Source organism: Homo sapiens, chromosome 15 (genome assembly GCF_000001405.40).
Source record: "Homo sapiens chromosome 15, GRCh38.p14 Primary Assembly".
Lineage (NCBI taxonomy): Eukaryota > Metazoa > Chordata > Mammalia > Primates > Hominidae > Homo > Homo sapiens.
The window spans coordinates 49291402-49318234 of record NC_000015.10 but is presented as its reverse complement, the minus strand read 5'-3'; the positions used below and the strand labels follow the sequence as shown (position 1 = coordinate 49318234).

The 26833-nt window shown below is 38.7% G+C and overlaps 1 protein-coding gene across 18 annotated transcripts in view; it reads right to left on the bottom strand.

Annotated features, from left to right (window-relative positions):
• The window catches only part of GALK2 (galactokinase 2), a 211967-nt gene that overhangs the window by 49506 nt on the left and 135628 nt on the right, over positions 1 to 26833 (bottom strand). For 17 of the 18 annotated variants that reach the window (NR_147895.2, NM_001001556.3, NM_001352048.2 and 14 more), the window contains one exon: positions 25698 to 25908. Coding sequence is in view for 17 of the 18 variants with exons in the window: in NM_001001556.3 (NP_001001556.1) it covers positions 25698 to 25908 (211 nt within the window). In the remaining variant the exon portion in view is untranslated. Of the gene's footprint in view, positions 1 to 9462; positions 9628 to 25697; positions 25909 to 26833 lie in introns of those variants that run through there. The other variant, XM_047432354.1, reaches the window with a different exon arrangement.

Here is a 26833-nt window from a genome sequence, read left to right as displayed (position 1 = left end):
ATGCTTACACATTCCTGTGAATAACAACTGAGACTTCCTTACCATTTTCACCCATGCTGAACAGTTGCTGAGCTGGTGTGGTGGGTCTGGGAAAATTTTGGAAAATTTATGAAAATTCCCAGGCCTAGGGGAAAGAGACAGGGCTGAAAATCAAAAAGTCTATAATTTTTTTTTTTAATTTTACTTTAAATTCTGGGATACATGTGCAGAATGTGCAGGTTTGTTACATAGATATACCATGCCATGGTGGTTTGCTGCACCCATCAACCCGTCATCTCTATTAGGTATTTCTCCTAATGCTATCCCTCCCCTAGCTCCCAACCCACTGACAGGCCCCAGTATGTGTTGTTCCCCTTTCCCTGTGTCCATGTGTCCATTGTTCAACTCCCACTTATGAGTGAGAACATGTGGTGTTTGGTTTTCTGCTCCTGTGTTAGTTTGCTGAGAATGATAGTTTCCAGCTTCATCCATGTCCCTGTAAAGGACACGAACTCATCCTTTTTTATGGCTGCATATTATTCCATGGTGTATATGTGCCACATTTTCTTTATCCAATCTATCATTGATGGGCATTTGGGTTGGTTCCAAGTCTTTGCTATTGTGAATAGTGCTGCAATAAACATATGTGTGCATGTGTCTTTATAGTAGAATGATTTATAGTCCTTTGGGTATATACCCAGTAATGGGATTGCTGGGTCAAATGGTCTTTCTAGTTCAAGATCCTTGAGGAATCGCCACACTGTCTTCCACAATGGTTGAACTAATTTACATTCCCAACAACAGTGTAAAAGCATTCCTATTTCTCCACATCCTCTCCAGCATCTATTGCTTCCTGACTTTTTAATAACCGCCTTTCTAACTGGTGTGAGATGGTATCTCATTGTGGTTTTGATTTGCATTTCTCTAATGACCAGTGATGATGCACTTTTTTTCACGTTTTTTGGCCGCATAAATGTCTTCTTCTGAGAAGTGTCTGTTCATATCAAAAAGTCTGTAATTTCTTAACAGATCTGTGACAACTAGCTGTACACAAATTGCTACCTGTATAATGCTCCCTTTATTTCCTCACCTCTAAAATGAGGTTGAGAATCACTTCTCAGGATACTCCCAGCCCTAACATTTTATAATTCTATGAAGGGCTTCTTCCAAAAGTATCTATCCTTCAACATTCCCCCCATATTGTTATACTTTGTAAAGAAGATGCTGTTACTGGTAGCTTTTGTTTACACCCCAGTCCTACTCTCTGCCCTTTTCCACCCTACTATCAGCCCCAAAGGCTGACCTGTATAGACTACACCAGTGAGTCCCTTGCCATCTAGATTTGAGAGCAGGAAAAGATCAGCAATAGATGGGAGGGAAGAGAGTGATGTCAGAGGATTTATTCCCCGGCTCCTCCCTTGCAGAGCCATTTAGAGCTGGCAGTGTCTTTCCACTGAAGGACACTGAACATCCTTCAAAATCTCCTTTTCTACATGACTTTCTCTCCTCCTGGGTCTGCCCCTAGGTTCCTCTCCCCTAAACTATGATTACTTTTTCTGAAGCACTTTTACATTTCTACTAATGAGCCAATAATTTTTTTTTTGCCCTTGATTTTTCTTGTTTATTTATTTATTTATTTGTATTATACTTTGAGCTCTAGGGTACATGTGCACAACGTGCAGGTTTGTTACATATGTATACATGTGCCATGTTGGTGTGCTGTACCCATTAACTCGTCATTTACATTAGGTATATCTCCTAATGCTATCCCTCCCCCCTACCCCCACCCCACTACAGGCCCCCATGTGTGATGTTCCCCTCCCTGTGTCCATGTGTTCTCATTGTTCAATTCCCAGCTACGAGTGAGAACATGTGGTGTTTGAACCAATAAATCTTATTAAAGTTTCAGGTTTCATTTTTCCCCTCCACAGCACTGTCCTTATAACTCTTACTTTCGTAGATAACCACTATATCATTATCACACCTAACAAAATTACCAGTGGTTCCTTAATATTGCCTGATATTCAGTCCATATTTAAATTTTCCCAATTGTCCACCAGTTTACATTTCAACTGGTTTACACCAAGATCCAAACAAATTCCACACATTATATTCAGTTGTTATGTCTAATAAGTCTCTTTTAGTCAATCAAGAATTTAGTAGTTTAGTGATTTTTGATACTCTGGATTTTCAATATCCCATCCAAGCACATTTTAGGGCCATATCCTGTAATAAAACTCAATATAGTCCATCAGGGAGAGTACACTTTGGTTTTCCTTTAGGATTACATATTTCTTTAGGATTAAATATTTTATTTTAGGATTAAATATTTTAAAATAGAAACTATCCAGAGAGATGTTTTCTATTAAACCCAGGACTGGTGCTTTGATTTTGACAAAAAGCATTCACAGTACACCCTGCAGACTACCAGAACCTCACAATCCTGGCACCTTCCTGAATCTGTTCTCTTCTTGCAGAGGAAGTGTGTCACAGCAGGACTTCTGAATAGGAATGTCTAACGAGGACTCTTGCTGGGCATTCTGAAGGTGCATGAGAGATTGCCATGGCTTGCAATCTCTTGAACGGTAGTAACTCAGACAACAAGGGAAAGGGCAGAAAGGGCATCTGTTTTCAATTGTGATATAAAAATCTTGCCAAAAGCTACAACAGATTTGGAGACCACCCTTTGGGTGGGAAAGCAGTTCTGTGTTGGCTGAATGTCACAAATGCTCTCTGGATCCAGGGTTCTGGCTTGTTATGTGCTGGCAACTCATCAGGTCTCTGTTATACAGATACCAAAAAATCCAAGAAAATCTGAAGCTTTATCCATAACAACTTTCTTCCCTGTCCAGCTAACATTATAGCTGGATGTTCCAGCTGTCTATAAGCTCTTGTAATCCTTGGGAGCAATTATTACATTAAAGGATGAAAGAAGCTGTTTCTTACTATGTTCATTGCATGCATGATTACTTCCAAGGCAAATTCAATTTAAGAATATAACACTAGATGATATTTTCCTCCAATATTGTTAATGGCCTATCCTATTCAAGAAAAATCCAAAACTTCAAAGCGGGATATACGTCATAGTCTTCAGAACACTGATTTTCTCCAATGTGAATCTTAAATAATTACTGAATCTAGTCATGAAATCATGGCACAAATTCTGAAATCTAAATGTTCATGGCTATATATACTTAAACTGCAAAATAAATATTTCATTTTGTTGCTAATAATTTTGGCTTGTATAATAAATTATATTGGCTAAATTCCTTCTGCCCAGCCTCCGAGCTGTGCTTCCAGCACACCATGTGGCTCCTGTGACAGGCCCTTGGCAGTAGCTGTTTTGTTGTCCTGAAATGCTCTTCCCCAAGATCTTCACATGGCTGGTTCCTTCTTGTGGTTCAACACTCAGATGTCACAGCTTTGAAGAGACTCAACTCCAATCTGGAGTAGCCCACACACATACATATTTTCTCCATTCTATTTTATGCTCCCAACACCTATCACCATCCAATATTTTCCTGTGTGTTCATTTGTTCATTGGTTTGTGGTTGTCTCCCACCAATGGAAGCTCAGCTCCAAGAAAGCAAGGGCCTTGTCTAGTTTCTTCATAACTATCTCTAGCAGCTAAAATAGGATCTGGCACTTAGTAGGGGTTCAATAAATGTTTGTTGAATGCATAATTCAAATCCTTCTCCTTGTAACAAAACTGCACTGAAACTAGGCTAAATAAACAGTAGTGAGACAAGTACAATATGGAATATAAAGGAGACATACTATTTTAACAATTTATACTCACTAGCATCCTCACCAAAAAGTGGGGAAAGTTTGCTAAAATAAAGTTTGGAAACAATTAGTAAACTTCAGTGCCCAAAGTATACCCTAATATTCATTATCACAGATGACTGAGAATTGTTTATATTGTATTTTGCTTTACAGATGTGAGAGAAAAGAGATTTCTAAAACAAAATCTGTTTCAAATAAAAGAGAAAGAATATAAAAATGGATAATTGTAAACAGTTAAAATTAGTTTTTCTTTTAGGCAATCTTTGTAACAAAGAGTTGCCTATTAACGTTTTCCTTTAAAAGATGGTTACATAGTTTATGATCAGAACCCATCTCTAATCAAGGAATCTAAATCAGGGCACACATAATTGGTTATTTTATTGGATCTCTGGTGGGAAATGGTGAGGGAAAGCCTTTGACAGGTGAGGCACACTGAGCGCCACTTTAAGCTCTGAGGACAGCAGGTCAACAGTAGATAGAGGACATGTCTATTTCATCTCTGAAAGAGTCCCACTGATTTAAATTTAACCTATGCATGCAAGGGCTAGTGGCCTCTTCTTTATTACCTCATCTTCTGCTAAGAGCAATGCCAAAAGCACTGAGTCATCTGAAAGAGCTTCACTGATTTAATTTTAAGTTCTCCATGCAAGAGCTGGTGGCCTCTTCTTTATTACCTCATCTTCTACTAAGAGGGATGCCATAAGCACTGAGTATGATAGTCATCTAGCAAAAGTTAACCAACAGTTCTTATTGAGCACCTGCTATGCACCCAATACTGTGCTCCAAATGACAGGAAAGCCACATGAAGTAGAACCTCTGCATTAAGGGAACTTATAACTTAGTTACACAGATAAGACAAACTATGACACTACTAGACAGTGAGCAATTGCAGCAGACATCTGAGTGCTGGAAATGCTGAAGGTGCACCAAGAAGACAGGGCTTGCTGGGGAAGGACCAGTAGTGGGAGATGTCACAGGAGAGGGGCCTGAGCCACACAGTGTCCCTTCTGTGAAGAGAGGATGGCCAAAGGCCCAAGGTGGGAACAGGCAGAGTGTGTTCATGGGCCTGAAGAGAGCAAGCTGACCAGAATCTGGCTCTCTAGAAAGCTATCCTCACATCTGAGGCTTTAGCATCCTCAGCTACATCCACTACACAAAGATTACAAACAACCCATGTGCCATAGCCAGCCACGGTGATGCCTTCTTGACTCAAATGTCTTTATATTGGAAGATTTACCTAAGAATCTGGATTTCTACTTACTTTTGGAAAACTGGAAGGTCTGACAGTGCTGGATCTGCATTACTGTCTAGCAACTGTTGGCTGGAGCTAAGGAGTACCTACCCCTTTGAGTCAGGGTACACACACTTTATTCCACACAGTTCTCACCATTCCCAACTATGTGACACTTAGCCTGCCTCACTAGTTTATATGCCAGCCTGGTCCTTGCAGGTATGTGCTTGTGGTCCTTGTTCTATAAAACTTTCTATAATAGGACTTCTCAGCAGAAGAGTGGGCAAATATCTTCCCTGAGTGGGTCATCATGCCATAATGAGCCACTGTTACTGTTGCTATCAAATATCACCTCCCATAGGTGCACTGATAAACAATGTATTGAATTATAATCTGTCTTCCTGTAACTTCTACTCTTTGGTCTTGGTTCTGTTCCCCAGACATATGTAAACACAAGGTAACCCTTCAGATATCTGAAGACAGCTCTCATGCACTGTGCCTTTTACACATTGTTGAGGGTCCACTATGTACCTGCTTAGGGACCAATAATGAATAAGTGTACTAATCAGGGTTCTCCAGTGAGACACAAACAACAGGATATATAGGTATACAAAAGAGGGAGAATTGGCTGATATAATCACAAGGAGAAGTCTCCTTGATAGGCTGTCTCTAAGCTGGGGAGGGAGAGAGGACAGTAGTATGACTCAGTCCAAGTCTGAGAACCTCAAAACCAGAGAAGCCAACAGTGCAGCCCTCAGTCTGAAGCCAAAGGCCCTAGGGCCCCCAGAAGGCTGCTGGTTTAAGTCCCAGATTCCAAGGCTGAAGAACATAGAATCTGATGTCCTTCCTGAGGAGAGGAAACAAGCATCTGACACAGGAAGAGAAAGAGAGCAAGAAGACTCAGCAAAACCTATCTCCCTTCTTCTACCTGCTTTGTTCTACCCATACTGGCAGCCAGTTGGATGGTGCCCACTCACATCACAATAAGATAAGCTGTTTACGCCCCACAAGTAATAGTCTACTAGAAAGAAATCATTAAATGAGATCAACAAAGGGCAAGAGATGCTAAAGCAGCATCTCACAGCTAAAATAGATGCACACAGTCAAGAGGGTGTCTGGATCTAGATGCACCTGAGAGTAGAGCTTGAGATAAAGACTTGGATGCAGGGAGCAGTAATCTAGAAAGCAGGAGTGAAAGAGGAAGAAAAGTGATTCAGGAAAGAAAGCAAGCCAATAAAGGGGGCTTAATGAGCAGATTAACTGTGTGGACAGCCCCCGGCCCAATCTCTCAGGGATCTCTCTGAAGAGTCATGTCGAATGTGCCTACCATTGGCCCACAGGCAATGGGAAGCCTGGGGCATTGACCCATTCACATTCTCATTGTTTGAGTGTTTCCCCCTAGAAGGGTTAACTTCTCCACAAAGATGTGCCTGGGTAACACATCTGCCTTAGTGACTTTGGAGAACGCACAATGGCTACAAAGAAGAGGCACTCATACAAGCTGCTAGCTTAACATGGGCTGCCAGCAATGCTGAAATCAGAATATAAAGTACAATACGGATATATCCAAGAGGATATAGCACAGTAATCATTACATCCACATAGGAATTAAACCAGTGAAGTCTAAATAGATGAGTAGGTGTTCAGCAAACCAATGAAATGGTGGGATAAGAAGCAAAGAAAAGGGTTGGGCAGAAAGAACGTTAAGAGCAAAGACGTCGAGATTATAAACCATTAGGTGCTTTTAGAGAAACAAAGTACTTTGACTACTGGAGCATGAAAAGAGGATAAAGAAATAGAAGCAACAGAGAATGTAACAGGAGAGAAAATCAAAGCAATGGGCTGAGGCCAGCCAGATAATGAGGACTTTGTATGTCATGCTAAGATGTTTAAATTGTATCCTGCAGATAAGTGGTTCTTGGCCCTTTAGGGATTACAGAACCTTTTGAGAAGTAAATAAAACAATGGACTCTCTCCCCCATGTGAATGAACAAATAACCAAAATACTGCATATAACACAACATACACACAGATTCCATAAAGCTATTGTTGAATCCTGGTTAAAAATTCCAGTTAGATTGAGGAAAGGATACGCTTGTCAATAAATGGTGCTGAGAAAACTGGATATTTATATGCAGAAGAAGACAAATAGACTCCTGTCTCTCACCATATAAAAAAATCAACTTAAGATGGATTAAAGACTTAAATGTAAAACCCAAAACTATAAAACTACTAGAAGAGAACACAGGGGAAATGCTTCAGGACACTGGTATAGGCAAAGAACTTATGCGTAAGACAACAAAAATCACCAGTGACAACAACAAAAATAGACAAATAGGACAACATGAAACTAAAAAGATTCTACACAGCAAAGGAAACCTATCAATAGAGTGAAGAGACAACTTGCAGAATGGGAGAGAATACCTGCAAACTATTCATCTAACAAGGAACTAATATCCAGAATATACAAAGAACTCAAACAACTCAACAACAACAACAACAAAAAATCCAATTAAAAAATAGGCAAAGGGTCTGAATAGAGATTTCTCAAAAGAAGACATATAAATGGCCAACAGGAATATGAAAAAATGCTTAACATCACTAATCATCAGGGAAATGCAAATCAAAACCACCATGAGGTATCGTCTCACCCAGTTAGAATGGCTACTATCAAAAAGACAAAAAAATAACAAGTGATGGTGAGGATGCAGAGAAAAGGGAACTCTTCTACACTGTTGGTGCGAATGTAAATTAGTACAGCCATTATGGAAAACAGTATAGAGGTTTCTAAAAAAACTAAAAATAGAACTACCATATGATTCATCAATCTCATTACTGGGTATTTATCCAAAAGAAAGAAAATCAGTATATCAAAGGGCTATCTGTACCCCATGTTTATTGCAGCACTATTCACAATAGCCAAGATATAGGATCAACCTAAATGTTCACCAACAGATGAATGAATAAAGAAAATGTGGCATGTACACATAATAGAGTACTATTGAACAATAAAAAAGAATGAAATCCTGTCATTAGCAGAAATATGGATAAACCTAGAAGGCATTATGTTATGTGAGATAAATCAGGCACAGAGAGATTAAAAACCACATGATCCTACCCATCTGCAGGAGCTAAAAATAACTGAGCTCATGGAAGTAAAGAATAGAATTATAGTTACTAGAGGCCAGGAAGGGTAGTGGGGGAAGGCAAGTAGGAAGAGAATGATTACAAAATTGTAGCTAGATAGGAGGAATAAGTTCTAGTGTCCTATAGCACTGTAGAGTGACTACAGTTAACAAGAATTTATTATACATGTTCAAAAAAACTAGAAGAGGTCCAGCACAGTGGCTCATGCCTGTAATCCCAGCACTTTGGGTGGATCACCTGAGGTCGGGAGTTCGAGACCAGCCTGACCAACATGGAGAAACCTGTCTCTACTAAAAATACAAAATTAGCCGGGCGTCGTGGGGCATGCCTGTAATCCCAGCTACTCAGGAGGCCGAGGCATGAGAATTGCTTGAACCCGGGAAGCAGAGGTTGCAGGGAGCCAAGATCATGCCATTGCACTCCAGCCTGGGCAACAAGAATGAAACTCCATCTCAAAAAAAAACAAAAAAAAAACCCAAGCAACTAGAAAAGAGGATTCTGAATGTTCCCAACACAAAGACATGCTAAATGTTTGAGGTCATGTATAGCCTAATTATCTTGACTTGATCATTACACATTTGTATACCTATATTGAAATATCACTCTGTACCCTATAAATATGCACAATTGTCATATGTTAACTAAAAATTAAAGAAAAAATTCACTAAATAGTAAAAAATAAAATAATTCCAGTTAGAAATAAGAAATCATTATGTTTTTAGTAATTATATCAGTCAGCATTCTTGTTTGTAAACAACAGAAACCTACACCAACTACCTTAAGCAAAAAAGAAACTTGTTTTGAAGATATTGAGAAGCTCACAAAATCTTTTAGGATTATATATTTCCATTCTCTATTAGAACGTGAAACCAGGTGGGAAGTGGTTAGAAGCTAAGGGAAGCAGCCAGTGAAGAACACTGCCAAAATCATTCCACAAGAGCAGTCTGGATATGACATTGGAATCTAGACACTTTATCAACTGACCTATGCCTGTTAGACTCAAAGCCCCAGCCATAAACAAGTGCCCGGACACCAGAAGAAGCCTAGTACCCTTGTCCACATGCAGATGTCAAGTGACTCAAAAGAGACAAATCTGACCCTTCAGCTTCTACCATAGAATGCAAGACCTTCTCCATCACCAACATACACACAGCAGATTTCCCTGAGATGGAAAAGGGGCCCAGATGCTAGGTAGCCAAAACTATGGCTGCTGCCATCTGCCCACTGCAGCAGTGAAATACCACAACTATTTGAGTCTTCTCTCCAGAGCAACCTTCCAAGTTCCAACATGATCAAATTTCCAGTCTCCTTCACCTGTTTATTCTTCCAAATACACTTTAGTCTGTGTATGCCCTTCTTGAAGGGTGGTTCCCAGGCCTGAATGCAGTTCTGGACGTCAGCTGATGACTGCAAGGGAGAGCTGGACCATCATCTCCCTCATTCTTTATGCAGCGAGTTTCTCCACGTAGCCTCATATCACCAAACTGCATAAAGGTTTATAAATACAGAAGAATGCAGAGCATTGGTTTTCAGCTATCAAGCTAAAAAGCAATAAGTATTTTAAGAATATTTCATTACCTTGAATGAAGACTATCTCAGGATAATTAATCATAAAGAATAAATATGCTGGTCTGAGATAACTGGAAATCTTTATCATGTACGTGTATAATTAATCTTTCTGAGACTTTCATACCCTAGAATATTTTCCCACTGTTTGAGTGAGGGGCTAAAAGTAGTTGTGGCTGTAGCTGGCTATGCACAATCATATAACTACACATTACTGGTCAATTTCTCTAACAAATAGAAAGCTCCACTAGGCTAAACCAAAAGTTGGTTTCCAAGAAGAGCAATCCAGAGATGGATGAGGAAAACCACTTCAGAACCCAGAACAGAGTCCTCTGTTTCCCTTTGCAGTGAAGTCATAATAAAAAGTCCGTGCTCTGAGGCAAAGACTCTTTGGAGCATTTAAGCAATATAATTGAAAAACACTTGAATAATCCTCATTGAAGCTGGAATGTGGTTTCAAATTTATTTTCCTAGTGATAATATTTTTTAAAAATGTTAAACTTCTGAAATGGTCAAACCCACAAAAAATAAACTGCTGTTTTCAGCCACATTAGTATCCCATTCCCATGCTGCAAAGACTAAATTAAATTAGCATTTTACATTTAAAGGGAAAATATCTTTACCTGATTTTAAAAGCAAACTCGCTGATGAAAAAAAATGCACTTTCAACATAAAACACACTAATCCATGGAAAAGTACATTCCAAGAAGCATTTGTGAATATTTGAAAATCAACAGCATAATGCTGTTTTATGGAGAGTAACAGTGCTCCTCATGTTTATGGCTTCCCTTTCTCAGATTTCCAAAGTAGCAAGAGCCTTCAAGGTCTGTTCCATAGTACATTTTACTCCGCTGATCAAAACCTTTGCCTCACTCCACTGTAGTCACCCTCACCTGCATTTTACACGCTGGCATATGCTAAGCTTCTGTAAATAACTCCAGGGTCATACACATTACAAGACAGAGCCCATCACTCTCTTCTTTCCATTCTACCCTCTACCTTTGTAGTTTGGATTCTTATCATCCCATGTCTGTACCATTGCACTACCTTCTAACTGGTATCCCTCTCCCCTCTAATCAACCTGCTCATACATACCATAACAAACTTCCCAAATTGCCATTTTGATTGTGGCATTTGTGAATATTTCATTGCATCGAAATCTAGCGTATTTTTCCATTGCCCAACAAATGAAAGCCCCCGTATTTCAATTCATCAAGAAACATCAACAGTCCCCCAAATGGTATGGTTGTGACACTATCCTCTCCCCGTTGACTTGAGATACCTGCCCCGCACCATCATTGCCTGTCCACTGGCAGCATGCAGAGTACCAGAATGAAGATGCTGCATCAGCATCCTACCCAGTCCGATTCTGCAATCCCCACATCTCTTTCAGTATCAGCCTGGATGCCACCTCTTTCACAAAACTCTCCAAAAACATAACAGTCAGAGGCATCCATACCTCCCATCTCGGCACACTTCTTTAATTACTTTGTGTTCCTTTCTAATTATAGTTACCATATACTGCTTCTGGAGGGCAGGGACTGTGCCCTCTTTATCTTTATAGCCCCCTTGGAACCTAATAGAGTGTCTTGAATATGGCAGGTTCTCAATACACATCATCTTGCTCTCATCTTATTAGCAAGGGAAGAATCTGAAGCTGCTCCCTGGATGAGCCACATTTTTGTGTCTCACTCTCTTGAGGGAATTACTTTCCCATTAATTTTCCAGAACTTCCCTAAAACTTCATTCTTGCAAAATGTGAAAAGAGGAAACAATTTCAAGCCATTTAAAAAGGAACCTAGAGAGTTAAGAAGGAATCGTGGTCAATGCAGAGCTGCAAGAAGGACTATGAGAAACATGGTCATGCTTGCCTAGGGCTGGCCTGGCCTGGTATTTTTACATGAAAGGGAATAAGCTCTTATCCTAGATTTCTTCTATTAATTGAATTACAGGAAAAATACATAAGGGAATAAAAAGGGGTGAAAGAGAGGCAAAAGAAAAATTAGTGCTTACCTGTGAAATAAGCATATTTCTATTAGAACACTTTAGTTATTATTTTATTGTTGTCTTCCCACAAAATTAAATAATAATAAGGATTATGCTGGCCTTACTGACTTCTAATACACAGTACCTAGCACAGTGCTTAAATAGCTGGTTCTCAAACATTTGTTGATAAAGGAATAAAAATCTATCTCTACTTATGTTATTTATTTCCCAAAATGATGAAAAAGTAGTCAGTGAACAGATTACGTCAACAGTTTAAGCAAGTATGAAACTATGCTATCTGGCATGTAAAATGGCCCTACTAGATTACATAGGCTGTTGTCCGGAGTTTGCTTTTGGAAGGTAGGTACTGGAGCAGAACAGGAAGAGTGACCTGGGGTGACTGAAAGTGAGGGAGCTCTGAATCATGTGCCAAATGTGGCCCTTCTCCGAACTTCCTATTGAAGGACAATACACCTACACTATACCTGAACTTTCCAAAATGCAGTGCAGCATTAAGAAGATAAAAATCTTTCACTTTCACAAACATCTAGAGATGTTCCTATTCTCAAGGTGTTTACACTATAACTGGCAATACCCTGAAAGAATAAATCAAGATGCTGCTATTTCACAGCACTCCATGATTACAAATGTGCTTATGTAGTTCTCCGGAAGCCAGTTGGGAAGTGAATGCACACAGGTGTGTTTGTTTGTGGTTTCTCTGCATTTGTGTTTATGTGCTTTTCCATAAGCAACCTTCCCCCCTTTATCAGATTCTCTTTCCTGTTTTCTTTATTCATATGACTCTTTCCCTTGTGATCTTCATCCTCTCTGTCCCCCTTCCCTTTTTAGGCTAAAATAGAGAAATGAAGCATGTATCTTGCTATTTCTTGTGTTAATTAAGTAGACTTTTATATTGCTTCTTCTTGGAACATTTTATAACTTCTCATTAAAAGACTAAATTATATTGCTTTCCTATGTAGGTGGTCTCTGGTCTTTTTTACTGTTCCATCAGTGGCCCTTGACAGAATAAGGGTTTCCCAATATTAGAGAAGTCCTAATGGACTAAGGGTGTTAATCTTTGTGGTCTCTCCCATTCTAATCCTTTCTAAAGACAAAACAAGAAACCATCTTCCTCAAACATTTTCTAAAAAACTATGGAGCGTCTCTACCCTGAATATAGAGTGGTGGCCTGTCATATTTTCGTCTGAAACCTGCCACATGAATGATGATCAAATGAGATCTCATATGGTTAAACTGTTAGTGTCTATACACATACAATAGGTCATTATTTTTGTTGTCATTACTATTAATATTTGGCAATAACCTGCAAAAAGGCACTAGATCCATCCACAGTTACTCGCCTCAGCTGACTCTCCTGGAAACAAATGGCACAGTAGGTAGAAAATAGCATACAATTTCTAATTTAGAAATTATTAGGAAACTTTCTTCCACCTGAAGCTAAGTACTTTGAAAAAGGACTACAGAAATTGAACAACTAATAAACAGAAGAAGATGTTTTCTTGAACTAGGATATTAGAATGACTGGCTCCTGAAAAGAGACCATGAACTCTGCAAGACAGGGAAGAAAGTGACAAGCCATCATTACCAAGTAAGCTTTCACCAGATCATGTGCAGATAAAATGCCAGTATGAGAGAAATGTGTAACATAAAAAGAGATCACAGTATGTCTGTCTAATTCTTAAATGAAAATAACTTGAAATTTGATCAAGAGCAATATTCATTGTCCCAGATGTTTGGAAAAAATGTCAACTTCGTATTTGTATATGAGAAAGTAAATTGGTTCTCATTGGTATCACCAAGATTTGATGGGATGAGACTCATAGCCACTCAACATGGGAAAGTACAGTTGTCATTAGGCTGCTTCCAAATATTCCAGCTATCCTCACACATATTAAGACTGTACTACCTCACCCTCACTGAAGTTCATCACATCCATCTGACTGGCTTTGGCCAATCGAATGAGCATAGGGGTGATGCCAGTCACTCTGGCAGATGTTAAGAGCCAGAGAGCAATTAACAACATTACCTTCCTCCTGCCATGATTGTGGACAAACGTGTTGAGATGGAGCCCTCTGAGCCCAGCTCCATAAGTGTCTTAGATGAACAAACTCTTTTGCTGACTTATGTTAGATATAAAGAGTGAGTAAGAAATAAACTTTTGCTTGGTCAAGCCACTGAGACTTTGAAATTGTTTGTTACTGAAGCACAATCAGTTTGAGCTTACCAGTACAGGACAATCACTTTGACCAAAATAAATGAATTTCACCATAAGAAAAGCTGCTTTGTATACAAAGAGAACACTTACTTATGTGGAAACCTACAAAATGTAAAAATGAAAGCATAAGTAGCAAAAAAGGAAAATAGGATGGCAAGATGTTGGCCTCTTAGGTTGATGATGACTATAGAAGATGCTTTCCTATAGATGTTTCCAAACCAGCAGAGGAGTGACAGAGGAGACAATGAGATGTCCTTATATCTGCAGAAGCCTCATTCTACTCAAAACATAGTATCTAATAACTTCACAGCTGATCCTTTGATAATTTCACTCCTGAAAGACAGAGATACATCCATGATAAATTTAAGCAAAGGGAATACTGAGTAACATTTCCTTAGACTTAAATACATATATTTACAAGTTTAGAAATTATACATTTTCCTTTCCTTTTCTTCCCTTCCTTCCCCTTGAGGCAGCCACAAATGAGAAGACCAGCAAGGCTAGAGCCAAAGAAGCAGCTGGGGCTGAGGAGATGTACAGGAACTACAGGGTCAGAAACAAAGAGGCCTGCAAGGCTGGACCAAGGTGGTGGTCAGAGCTGAGGAGACCAAGGAGGCCAGTGATGCCAAGGCCAAGGAGGCAGCTGGAGTGAAGAAGATAGTTGGCAGGGTCAGGAAACCAGGTACATACAGGGAAAATGAGCAAATAAGTAAATATACTAAGAATGATGAGAGACATGTATTTTTCATGCTTCAAAGGTCTACATAGGAGCAGCTGGTGCCACGGCAGTTCATGCACATTGTTACTTCTCTGCTGGCCTCAGAAGCCAGAACCATGGTCACCATTAGCCTTGTGGGACAAGAGTCACACTGTGAGTACTGACCTACCTACCAGCGGCTGAGAAGCTGACCAACACACAACACAAATCACTGGTGTGATTCCAACACATGTCCTAGGCTCTTCCTACAGAAGTTGCAAGTTTTATGATGCCGTGCCTTTAAAAATCCTACTTAATAAGGTATGTTCACATTCATTTTTAGTTTTGAAGGGGGAAGGTGAACCAATGAATAGGGACATATCACGCACACATCTGAAAGAGGAAGTGGAATTTCCTGGTTATCTGCGATATCAGGTAAGCCCATTTTTTTTCCCTAGGAAACAAGGTAGGAACCTTTATTCCTGGCATGAACCTGTCCTCCACAGCCAGACAACTGAGAAGTCAATAGAAGCTGATGGGCAAAAGGAAGTGACCAGGCAGAGAGAGAAAGAAAAAAGGACTAATGAAAGCAAATTTTCTGCAAACTTGACTTCCAAAACAACTTAAAGAATAATATCTTTTGTGTGAAAGAAAAATCATTATTATTTGATTTATTCTTTTATACTTTGTTTTACAACAGTCTATTATTTTTCTCATAAAAACAAAAACAATAGACAAAACCAAAGGACCCATTTTATTGGCTTTCTCATTAGAAGTCCATCTCACAGATTTTAAGGATTTCTGTTCAACCAACATCTGTAAACTCTAGAAGGGTCTAAAACTTCCTTTGGAGTTTCGTCTAGCTTTCTATGGAAAACTTTTCTTCCAAAACATTTACAAGAAGAACAATGGAATCTGTTGAGATCACAGAGTTTAGTGCTTGATATCTTATAAGCTACATTTAAATCAATTTCCTTCATAATTGAGAACCCTCAACTGGACATTTAAATTACTAAACAACTGACCCTTTTTACATTGTAAAGCACCTTTATACTTTTTATTAGATAAAAACAAACTAATCTTCTTAGACTTAACCAAGATAATCTATGAGAACTGCATTTTTATTAAACGTGAAAATTCCATAGCACTTCTCATGGCTCTTCTAGAACACAACAGCTTATGCATATTATGGCCAAGTTGAGTTGTTCCTTAAATAAAGCAAGCTTCTAGATGCCACACAGTCTTATCTCTTCTAAGGCCAAAACACTAGAATGGGAAATAGCCATAAAGGAAACTCTTTGGACATAAAGCTACCTATCTTTATCATTACTCCTTAGTCTCAAGAAAAAATTAGAGCCAAGCAAAGTCAAAATACTGATATCACCTCCCGTAATTGGTGCAGGATTGCTAAGGGCAGCTTATAAGTGTGCCAAGATTTAAAAAGTGATGGCAGAAAAAGTACTGGATTAAGTTAGAAGACTAGGATTTGGAGTCCGGCTCCAGCTCGTACCACCTATGTGGTCTTGACAAATCACTAAATTCTCTCACCTCTGTTTCTTCATCTGTGAAATGCAGATAACCCTGTGCCCCAGGGTTGTTGTGAGATTCAAATTAGAAGGTGTGTGTAAATGGTCACGTGGGAACTATAAAGTGTATAACAAGTTGTTTTGTTCTTTTTTTCTTTACCATTGACTCTAGGTGTCTTCCTAAAAAGCAATCTACATCAGGGCTTTGTTCTTTATTAAAAGTCATGATTATCACCCATGACTCTGGAGATCATACAAGGCAAACAAATGAGTCAGGAACTGACCAGCACTTTGTCAGCATGTGGTCACAGGCAAAGTTGATAACTGAAGTAATGAAATTTGGGTCTACCCCAGCACAGTGTGGCTAAGCAGCTGGGCCACCCCAACCCAGAGCAGTTTGGACACTCCCAAAAGAAATGCTCCCAACAAATTCCTTTTTTTTTTTAAGCTAGAATCTAAACCAACTGACCCATTCTCTCTACTTCACTGCCCATTTACCTTCTCAGAAATTCTTCTGTCCTCCAATGTGTGTTCTTGAGTTATACGCTTGATACATCTGCCTATCTCTCCTTACCCTGACCACAGCTTCAAATTTTCTTCTTGGGTCACACCATGGGAAACATCCCTCCCAATTAAGTCTGGCCCCTGAGGCTCCAAGACTCCAGACCACTCTACCACACCCTTAGACAATTCCTACCTGTGGGTAAGGCCTGGCAAATAAGCCTGAAACTATTCCTAAAAGTTTCTAAACAACATCTAAAGGATTGAAGGATTTTGCTTTGTGTGTGTTTAATTTGAATGGCCACTGAGCATTTCTAAATCTAATTATTAGAAATTTGGAAACAGAAAATAAGAACTGCGCATGGGCCTTTGGAAGTCTGGCTAGTTTAACAGAAGCTTCAAGCCACTGCTTGATTTGAACATCTCTCCCTACACTGTCACCTCAAGGTTAACATCCTTAAAAAAAAGAAATTCCAACCAAGAGTTTCATATCCAGACAAACAAGTTTTGTAAGTGAAGAGGAAATAAAATCCTTTTCAGACAAGCAAAGCCTAAGGGAATTCATTACCATCGGACCTGCCTTACAAAAGATCCTTAAGGAAGTGTTAAACATGGAAACAAAAAACTGGTACCTGCCACCACAAAACACATTTAAGTACATAGCCCACCAACACTACTGTATTAGTCCGTTCTCTTGCTGCCAATAAGGACATACCTGAGACTGAGTAATTTATAAAGGAAAGAGGTTTAATTGACAAAGTTCAGCATGGCTGGGGAGGCCTCAGGAACTTATAATCATGGCGGAATGAGAAGCAAACATATCCTTCTTCACATGGTGGCAGCAAGGAGAAGTGCCAAGTGAAGGTTGGAAAAGCCCCTTATAAAACCATCAGTTCTCAAGAGAACTCACTCACAATCATGAAAACAGCAGCATGGGGATAACTGGCACCGTGATTCAATTACCTCCCAGGATCTCTCCCATGACATGTCGGGATTATGGGAACTACAATTCAAGATAAGATTTGGGTGGGGACACAGCCAAACCATATCAACTATAAAGCAATTATATAATCAATGCTACAAAACAACCAGCTAACAAAGCAATGACAAGATCAAACCCTCAAATGTCAATATTAGCTTGGAATTTAAACAGGTTAAATGCCCCACTTAAAAGACACAGAGTGATGAGTGGGATAAAGAAGCAAGAATCAACTGCATGCTGTCTTGAAGAGACTCATCTCACATGCAATGACACATGTAGGCTCAAAGTAAAGGGATGGAGAAAGATCTATCAAGCAAACAGAAGACAAAAAGAGCAGGGGTTGCTATTCTTATTTCAGACAAAACAGATTTAAAGCTAACAATGATCAAAAAGGTCAAAAATGGGCATTACATAATGATAAAGGGTTCAATTCAGCAAGATGACTTAACTGTCCTAAATATATATTCACCCAACATTAGAGCACCCAGATTTATAAAACCAAGTTCTTAGAGACCCACAAAGAGACTTAGATAACCAAACAATAATAGTGGGAGACATTAACACCCTACTGACAGATCATCCAGGCAGAAAACTAACAAAGATATTAGGGACTTAAACTCAGCACTTGACCAAATGGACCTAACAGATATCTATAGAATACTCCACCCAACAACAACAGAATATACATTCTTCTCATCTGCACATGGCACGTATTATAAGACTGACCACATGCCCAGCCATAAAGTAATTCTCAACAAATTAAAAAAAAAATCATACCAATCACGCTCTCAGACTACAGCACGAAAGAAAGAAAGAAAGAAAGAAAGAAAGAAAGAAAGAAAGAAAGAAAGAAAGAAAGAAAAGAAAGAAAGAAAGAAAGAAAGAAAGCAATACCAAGAAGATCTCTCAAAACCATACAATCCCATGAAAACTAAACAACTTGCTCCTGAATAACTTTTAGGTAAAGAAGGATATTAAGGCAATGAAATTAATTCTGTAAAACTAATGAAAACAAATATATATCAGAATTTGTAGGGCACAGCTAAAGTAGTGTTAAGAGGAAATTTATAGCACTGAACACCTACATCAAAACATTAGAAAGATCTCAAATTAATAACCAAACATCACACCTAAAGGAACTAGGAAAACAATAGCAAACCAACCACAAAGCTAGCAGAAGAAAGGAAACAACCAAAATCAGAGCTGAACCAAATGAAATTGAGACATAAAAATCCATACAAAAGATCAACGAAACCAAAACTAGTTCTTTGAATGAATAAATAAGATTGACAGACTGCTGCCTAGTTAATAAAGAAAAAAGGGAGAAGATCCACATAAACATAATCAGAAATGACAAAGGTGATATCACCACTGACCTCAGAGAAATACAAAAAACCCTCAGACACTATTGTGGACACCTCTGTGCACTCAAACTAGAAAACCTAAAAGAAATGAATAAACTCCAGGAACTGAACCAGGAAGAAACTGAATTCCTGAACAGACAAATAAAAAGTTCTAAAATTGAATCAATAATAAAAAATCTACCAACCAGAAAAAGCCCTGGAGCAGATGGATTCACAGCCAAATTCTACCAAACATATAAAGAAGACCTGTTAGCAATCCTACTGGAATTATTCCAAAAATTGAAGAAGAGGGACACCTGCCTAACTCATTCTATAAGGCCAGCATGATTCCAATACCAAAACCTGGCAAAGACACAACAAAAAAAGAAAACTTCAGGCCAATATCCCTGATGAATATAGATGCAAAACTATTCAGCAAAAACTAGGAAATTGAATCCAGCAGTACATCACAAAGCTAGTCCACCACTATCAAGCAGCCTTCATTCCTTGGATGCAAAGGTTAGTTCAACATAGGCAAATCAATAGGTGTGATTCACAACATAAACAGAATTAAACAAAAACCATATGATCATCTCAATAGAAATAAAGACTTTCAATAAAATTCAAGAACTCCTTATGTTAAAAACTACCAACAAACTGGGCATCAAAGGAACATACCTCAAAATAATAAGAGCCATCTATAACAAACCCACAGTCAACATCATACTAAACAGGCAAAAGCTAGAGGCATTCCCCTGAGAACCAGAACAAAACAAGGATTCCCATTCTCACCTATTCAACATAGTATTGGAGGTCCTAGCCACAGCAATCAGGCAAGAGAAAGAAATAAAATGCATCCAAGTAGGAAAATAGGAAGTCAAACTATCTCTCTACACTGACAATATGATACTATACCTAGAAAACCCCATAGTCTCTGCCCAAAGGCTCGTGGAACTGACAAATAACTTCAGTAAAGTTTCAGGATACAAAATCCATGTACAAAAATCAGTAGTATTTTTATACACCAGTAATGTCCAAGCTAAGAGCCAAATCAAAAACACAATACCATTCACAATAGCCACAAAAAGAATGAAATACTTAGGAATATAGTTAACCAAGGAGGTGAAAGATCTCTACAATAAGAATTACAAAACATGGCTGAAAGAAATCAGAGACAACACAAACAAATGGGAAAACTTTCCATGCTCATGGGTTTGAAGAATCAATATTATCAAAATGGCCATACTGCCCAAGGCAATTTACAGATTCAATGCTTTTCCTATCAAACTACCAATGTCATTTCTCACAGAATTAGAAAAAAAAAAATTCAAAAATTCAAATAAAAAATGGGCCCAAATAGCCAAAGCAATCCTAAGGAAAAAGAACAGAGCTGGAGCCATTATACCACCCAACTTTAAACTATACTACAAGGCTACAGTAACCAAAACAGCATAAAACAACAGACACATAGACTGATGCAACAGAATAGAAAACTCAGAAATAAATCCATACACCTACAGCCATCTGATCTTTGACGAAGTCAACAAAAATAACCAATGGAGAAATGACTCCCTATTCAATAAATGGTACTGGGATAGGTGGCTATTCATACACAGAAAATGGAAACTGGACCCCTTCCTTTTACCATATACAAAAATCAACTCAAGGTAGATTAAAAACTTAAATGTGTGACTTAAAACTATAAAAATTCTAGAAAAAACAGCCAGTATATGCAGTTCTGAACATAGAACTTGACAAAGATTTCATGATGAAATCTCTAAAAGCAATTGCAACAAAAACAAAAATTGACAAGTGAGACATAAACTAAAGAGCTTCTGTACAGCAAAAGAAACTGTCAACAGAGTAAACAGACAACCTACAGAGATAGGATAAAATTTTTGCAAACTATGCATCTTACAAATGTCTAATATCCAGAATCTATGAAAAAGGTAAACAAATCAACAAGCAAGAAACAAATAACTCCATTAAAAAATGGGCAAAGGACATGGACAGATACTTCTCAAAAAAAGACATACACATGGCCAACAAGCATATAAAAAATGCTCAATATCTAATCATTACAGAAATGCATATTAAAACCATAATGAGATATCATCTCACACCAGTCAGAATGGCTATTACTAAAAAGTCATAAAACAACAGATGTTGCCAAGTTTGCCAAGAAAAGGGAATGTTTATACACTGCTAGTGAGAACGTAAATTAATTCAGCCATTGTGGAAAACAGTTTGGAGATTTCTCAAAGAACTTAAAACAGAACTACCATTCAACTCAGCAATCCCATTACTGGGTATATACCCAAATGAATATAAATCATTCTACCAAAAAGACACATGTGGACAGGTGCAGTGGCTCACGCCTGTAATCCCAACACTTTGAGAGGCCAAGGCGGGTGAATCACGAGGTCAGGAGTTCGAGACCAGCCTGGCCAACATGGTGAAACCCTGTCTCTACTAAAAATACAAAAAATTAGCTGGGCGTAGTGGCAGGTGCCTATAACCCCAGCTACTCGGGAGGCTGTGGCAGGAGAATCTCTTGAACCAGGGAGGCAGAGGTTTCAGTGAGCCAAGATCGCATCACTGCACTCCAGCCTAGGCTACAGAGTGAAACTCTGTCTTAAAAAAAAAAAAAGAAAAAGACACATGCACTTATATATTCACTGCAGCACTATTCACAATAGCAAAGATATGGAATCAAACTAGATGCCCAACAGTTGACTGGATAAAGAAAACGTGGTGCAAATACACTGTGGAATACTATGCTGCCATAAAAAGGAATGAAATAATGTCCTGTGTAGCAACATGGATGCAGCTGAGGGACATTATCCTAAACAAATTAATGCAGGAACAGAAAACAAAATACCATATGTTCTCAATTGTAAGTGGGAGGTAAACACTGAGTACATATGGTGACAAAGAAAGGAAAAGTACACACCAGGGCCTACTTGAGGATGGCCAGTGGTAGGAGAGTGAGAGTCAAAACACTACCCTTTGGATACTATGCTCACTACCTGGGTGATAAAATCATGTGTACACCAAACCCCAGAAACATGCAATTTACACATGTAAGAAACCTAGTGTGTATGCCCTGAACCTAAAATTAAGTTGAAAAAGAAAATAAATAAAAGTTCTGGAAAAAAAGAAATAAGATGAAGCATGCCTCATTTTTACAAAAACCATGAAGTCATTATTCTTCAGGAGGAAAAGCTTATGAATATATACATAGAGAGGCAGAGAGAGAGCAATACATGTTGTTTGATAAGCAAATTGCTCTTTGTATTTTCCAAAGCATTCTGGGAAATTTACTTATTCAAAAAAAATCTAAAAGAAAGGAAGACAGGCAGATGCAGAAAGAAAGGAAGATGGATACAGAGCAAGAGAATAGGTTGTGGATTAAGAAGCATAAGCAGAAGATAAGAATTATATTAAGCTTTTAAGACAGGTAGAAACTGCATTTCAGAAAAGGGAGAAAATTCATTTATAAAAGCACAGTGGTATTTAGGATTAAAAGCCCAGAGGGAAGACCAAGCTTCCAATTAGTAAGTGGAATGGTCCAACCAAGGTAACACTGTCCACACAGGCAAGTATGGGCTCAAAAGGGACACAGGACAGAACTTAGTTAAGACAGGACTAGAAGAGCTCAGGCAATTAGGTAATGGTAAGCCTCTGAAGGCTTCTGAACTAAGTGACACCATGAAATGACTCTTTTAAAATCATTTCATAGTCAACATTTTCAATGTCTATTAAGACTTTCTCACCTTTTCAACAATAACCCCCAAATCTAATTATTATATCATTTGGATCTTTACCTGTTTTACATCTCTATTTAGATATCTTGCTATCACACCAGACAAATTCAATGATAGATAGATGAATCTATCTATCTATCTATATATATATATAGATAGAGAGAGAGAGAGAGAGAGAAATGAGCTTGTCATCTTACTGCCAAAATCACTTCAATACTATAATTTCCTAACTTTCCCAGTTATCCATACCTTGGATTTATTTACCTTATATTTCTTTTCTTCTTCCCTTCCTTTCTTCCTTCTTCCTCTCCCTCCTTCCCCTCCTTCTTCTCTTTCTTCTTTCCTTCACTCCTAGATACCAGCAATTGCCAATTGCAACTGAATTCTATTTTACAGTCTTGAGAATCTACCAGTTGAGCCATCTATCCTACTTCAGGCTCTTCTCATTCAGTATAGAGTATAGAGCAATAGTTTCCTAATTGGCATCCTTTTAGGCAGTCTTTTTGTCTTCTAACTCATACTGCACACAATACCTCTTGGTGCATGTTCTCCAGTACTCGACTCCTTGTGCTACTTTGTCTTCATTCAAGCTCTACTCTCCACCTGGAAAGGCTGGTAATCTCTCTAAGTCTAGGAAATTCATAACTTTCTCTAAGGATCCAGCTCAAAATTGAACCACCATCTACAGGACCTGAGCCACTTTTCCCTCCATACTCTTAGGGTTCTTGATAAATACCTTTATTATAGCAGGTATTATTTATTGTGATTGTTGTATGGCACTCTCCCCCAATTAGACACTAAGTCACTATAAAGTAGAGACTGTGTCCTGATTATCTTTGTATCCCAGCATCTAGCACAATTTCCAGTCCACAGAAGTCAATACGATTTGTTAAAGAAATCAATATCTCAGGTCAAAGGAGAAAGGCAATTCCCCTGAACCTCTCCCTATCCAATACCTTACCCAACTTCTTCATTCAATAAATATTGATTACCTCCCACATTACCTATACAACACACACACACAAATTATTTAATAAGGCCTTTGGTGATCTGGGTCTGTCCACAACCTTGGCCTGATACTGTATCATTCTCTACTATGTACATTATTTTCAAGAAACACTCAACTATCTGTAGTTCCCTGGACATATAATCTTCTCTCACTTCTTTCTGCCTCTGTATCTACTGTTTTGTCAGACTGGAATTCTTTCTGACTGTTTGCCTACCTAGGAAATACCTATTTATTATTTAACTTTTGGCTGGTTGCTAACTCCTTAGTTAAGCTGGCTAGCTTGCTTGCTTGCTTATTTATTTATTTATTTATTTATTTATTTATTTATTTATTTATTTGAGACAGGGTCTTATTTATTTATTTATTTATTTATTTATTTATTTATTTATTTGAGACAGGGTCTCCCCCTGGAGTGCAGTGGCACAATGTCAGCTTACTGCAACCTCTGTCTCCTGGATTCAAAAAATTCTCATGCCTCAGCCACCTGACTAGCTGGGATTACAGGTGCTTGCCACCATGCCTGGCTTATTTTTGTGTTTCTGGTAGAGGCAGGGTTTTACTATGTTGGCCAGGCTGGTCTCGAACTCCTGGCCTCAAGTGATCCACCCACCTCGGCTTCCCAAAGTGCTGGAATTACAGGCATGAGCCCCTGCACCCGGCCTTAAGCTGGCTTTGACTTCTTTGTTTTCTGGTCTCCCTAGACCCAAGTACAACTCCATCACCACACTCATCACTCTATTAGTACCTCTGCTACCAAGCATTATTCTTAGCACATTATACAGATTATTCTTAGAGGCATTCCTGTTACGCCTATTTTCATGGCAAAACTAAGGTAAACTTTAGTCTACTGCCTTTCTGGAACGAGAGCCAGCAAACATTTTCTGCAAAGAACCATATAGTAAATATTTTAGGTTTTGTGGACTATTTAATCTCTATCACAACTACTCAACTCTTATAGTGCAAAGGCAGCCATAGCTAATACATGGCCGTGTTGTAGTAAAAGTTTATTTTATAAAAACAGATGGCAGGCCTGATTTGGCCAGTAGGCCATAGTTTGCTTATTCTGGTTCTAAAGACTCAATCAAGCTTCATCAAATTAAATTGGATCGACAGTGTTAGAAACTAAAACCCAATCCCTACTTCCAAATGATTCCCTTATCTCATCCCAAAGTTTTCAGTACTTCCAGCCTTTAAGACATTACTTTGTGGGTAAATCTACAGTAGCAACTCAACAACCAGTTGTAGAACTGAACTGAATGAGACAGAAATGGGTCCCTGAGGCTGATGTTTGTATTAATCTCCTACTCATCCCCCATAACCATCCGCTAAGGGCAACTGGATCTTAACTAGATGTCCTTGCCCCCAGTACTGATTTGTCACAAATAGATAACCTCTAGTCTAAGAGGAACAAGCCAGCCCAAGACTCCATCCTGTGCCTGCAACATTTACCTGGGCTTCATCTCAGTTTCTGATGTTATTGGTATAAAAATAAAGTTAATTGAAAGCAGACCACAAATAGAAATAAGCTTCCACACTAAAGTAGGCCACAAGTTTCAACCTAAGACGTGAACACTTTATAGTGTTCCGAGTATTGTTTCACAGAGTTAGAGCAGTTCTCTAACTTAGTCCATTTTTTATACAAGTAGCATAATAACCAGAAAAAAATGGATAAGGGAAAAAAAAGATAAAAAAGAGAAGCTTACTGAATTATAAGCCCCTGGAAGACAGGAATCATGTCTCATTCACCCTTGCCTACCCAGCATAGTGGTGAATGAAAGAATGAATGAATACATTTATGAAGCTAAGATTCTAAATAATTAAGCTTGCCAAAACACAGTCTCCAAATTCCCTCAAGTATTCTCTAAAACCAGTGGAGAAATTGAAACCTTCCAGCTGTAAGTGAGGGAATAACATATATCATACTTTCTCCAGCCAACTCACCATCTTGAGTGTTTGGACTCAGGATTTGGGTTCGGAGTTCCTCCAGGCTAATTCCCAGACACCTGCAGATCTCCTCAGGGTTATAGGGTTCAGGATGAAGGGCATCTTCTGTGACCAACAGCATTTCTTCTAGACTAATCCCTAGTTTAGCCTGCACCTCCTCCAGCCTCAGTACTTTGTCCCATTGCAAGCTTTTGTATTTAGCCAGGAGCTGCAAATTCAAATCAAGATAATGGTCAGTTTTGATTCAGAATTTGATGTGTACTATTTTAATTAGCCAGATTCAACGTTAAGCTGTTTTTTGTTTTGTTGTTGTTTTCCTTTCAACCTATCCAACTTTCCCACCATTACTTGGAAATGCATACTGGCTTCAGATGCCTGGAATTAAACATGTCTGTATTACACTCACAGACTAGGTAGGTATTTGTCCTGAAACACACACACACACACGCAAACACACACAACTAATCTCTCACTGATTTTTTTTTTGGCCTGTCACCACTTTCCCTCAGGGCTGTTTCTTTGAATAATTTTACTCTTTTATCCTTATTCAGTTCATGCCTACTGCATTCCTCCCTAGGAAGTCAAGAGAAAACTACTTAAATCTCATGTGACCTGGGTCCTGAGAGGATACTGTACATCCAATTAGGGTACTTCCTGTTTACTATATGTCTCTTTGAAAATGGCATTATATGGGCATTTGGGGTAAAGTCCTAAATTTGAAATGAAAACCTCATTGGTGACTTTATGGGAAGCACTTCATTAGGTCACTGGTGGTAGTAGAGCTATATGTTCCTCTACCCTCAAGAAAAAGAGTTTGGCTTCTAACTGCATCCTGAGGTACCTCCTCAATCTGACAGTGCGGGTTAAGTACAAACCAAATCTGTAACCACCCATGGGAACCCCAATCCAGAATATATTTCTGTCATTCTCCCCAAGCAATATCAGAGTAGGTGGCAATCAAAACAGTGAGGATTTCTCTTATCCTGAGGTCTACAATATTCATTGCCTGGGTGTGAAGACAGAGGGGCATTTTAAGCAGCAAAAAGAAACAAGAGAAGGGGAAATCAGTCTTCAAGAAAATGTGCATCTGATTTACTCTTCCATTATGTTGATGATTTTCTCTTTTTGACAGG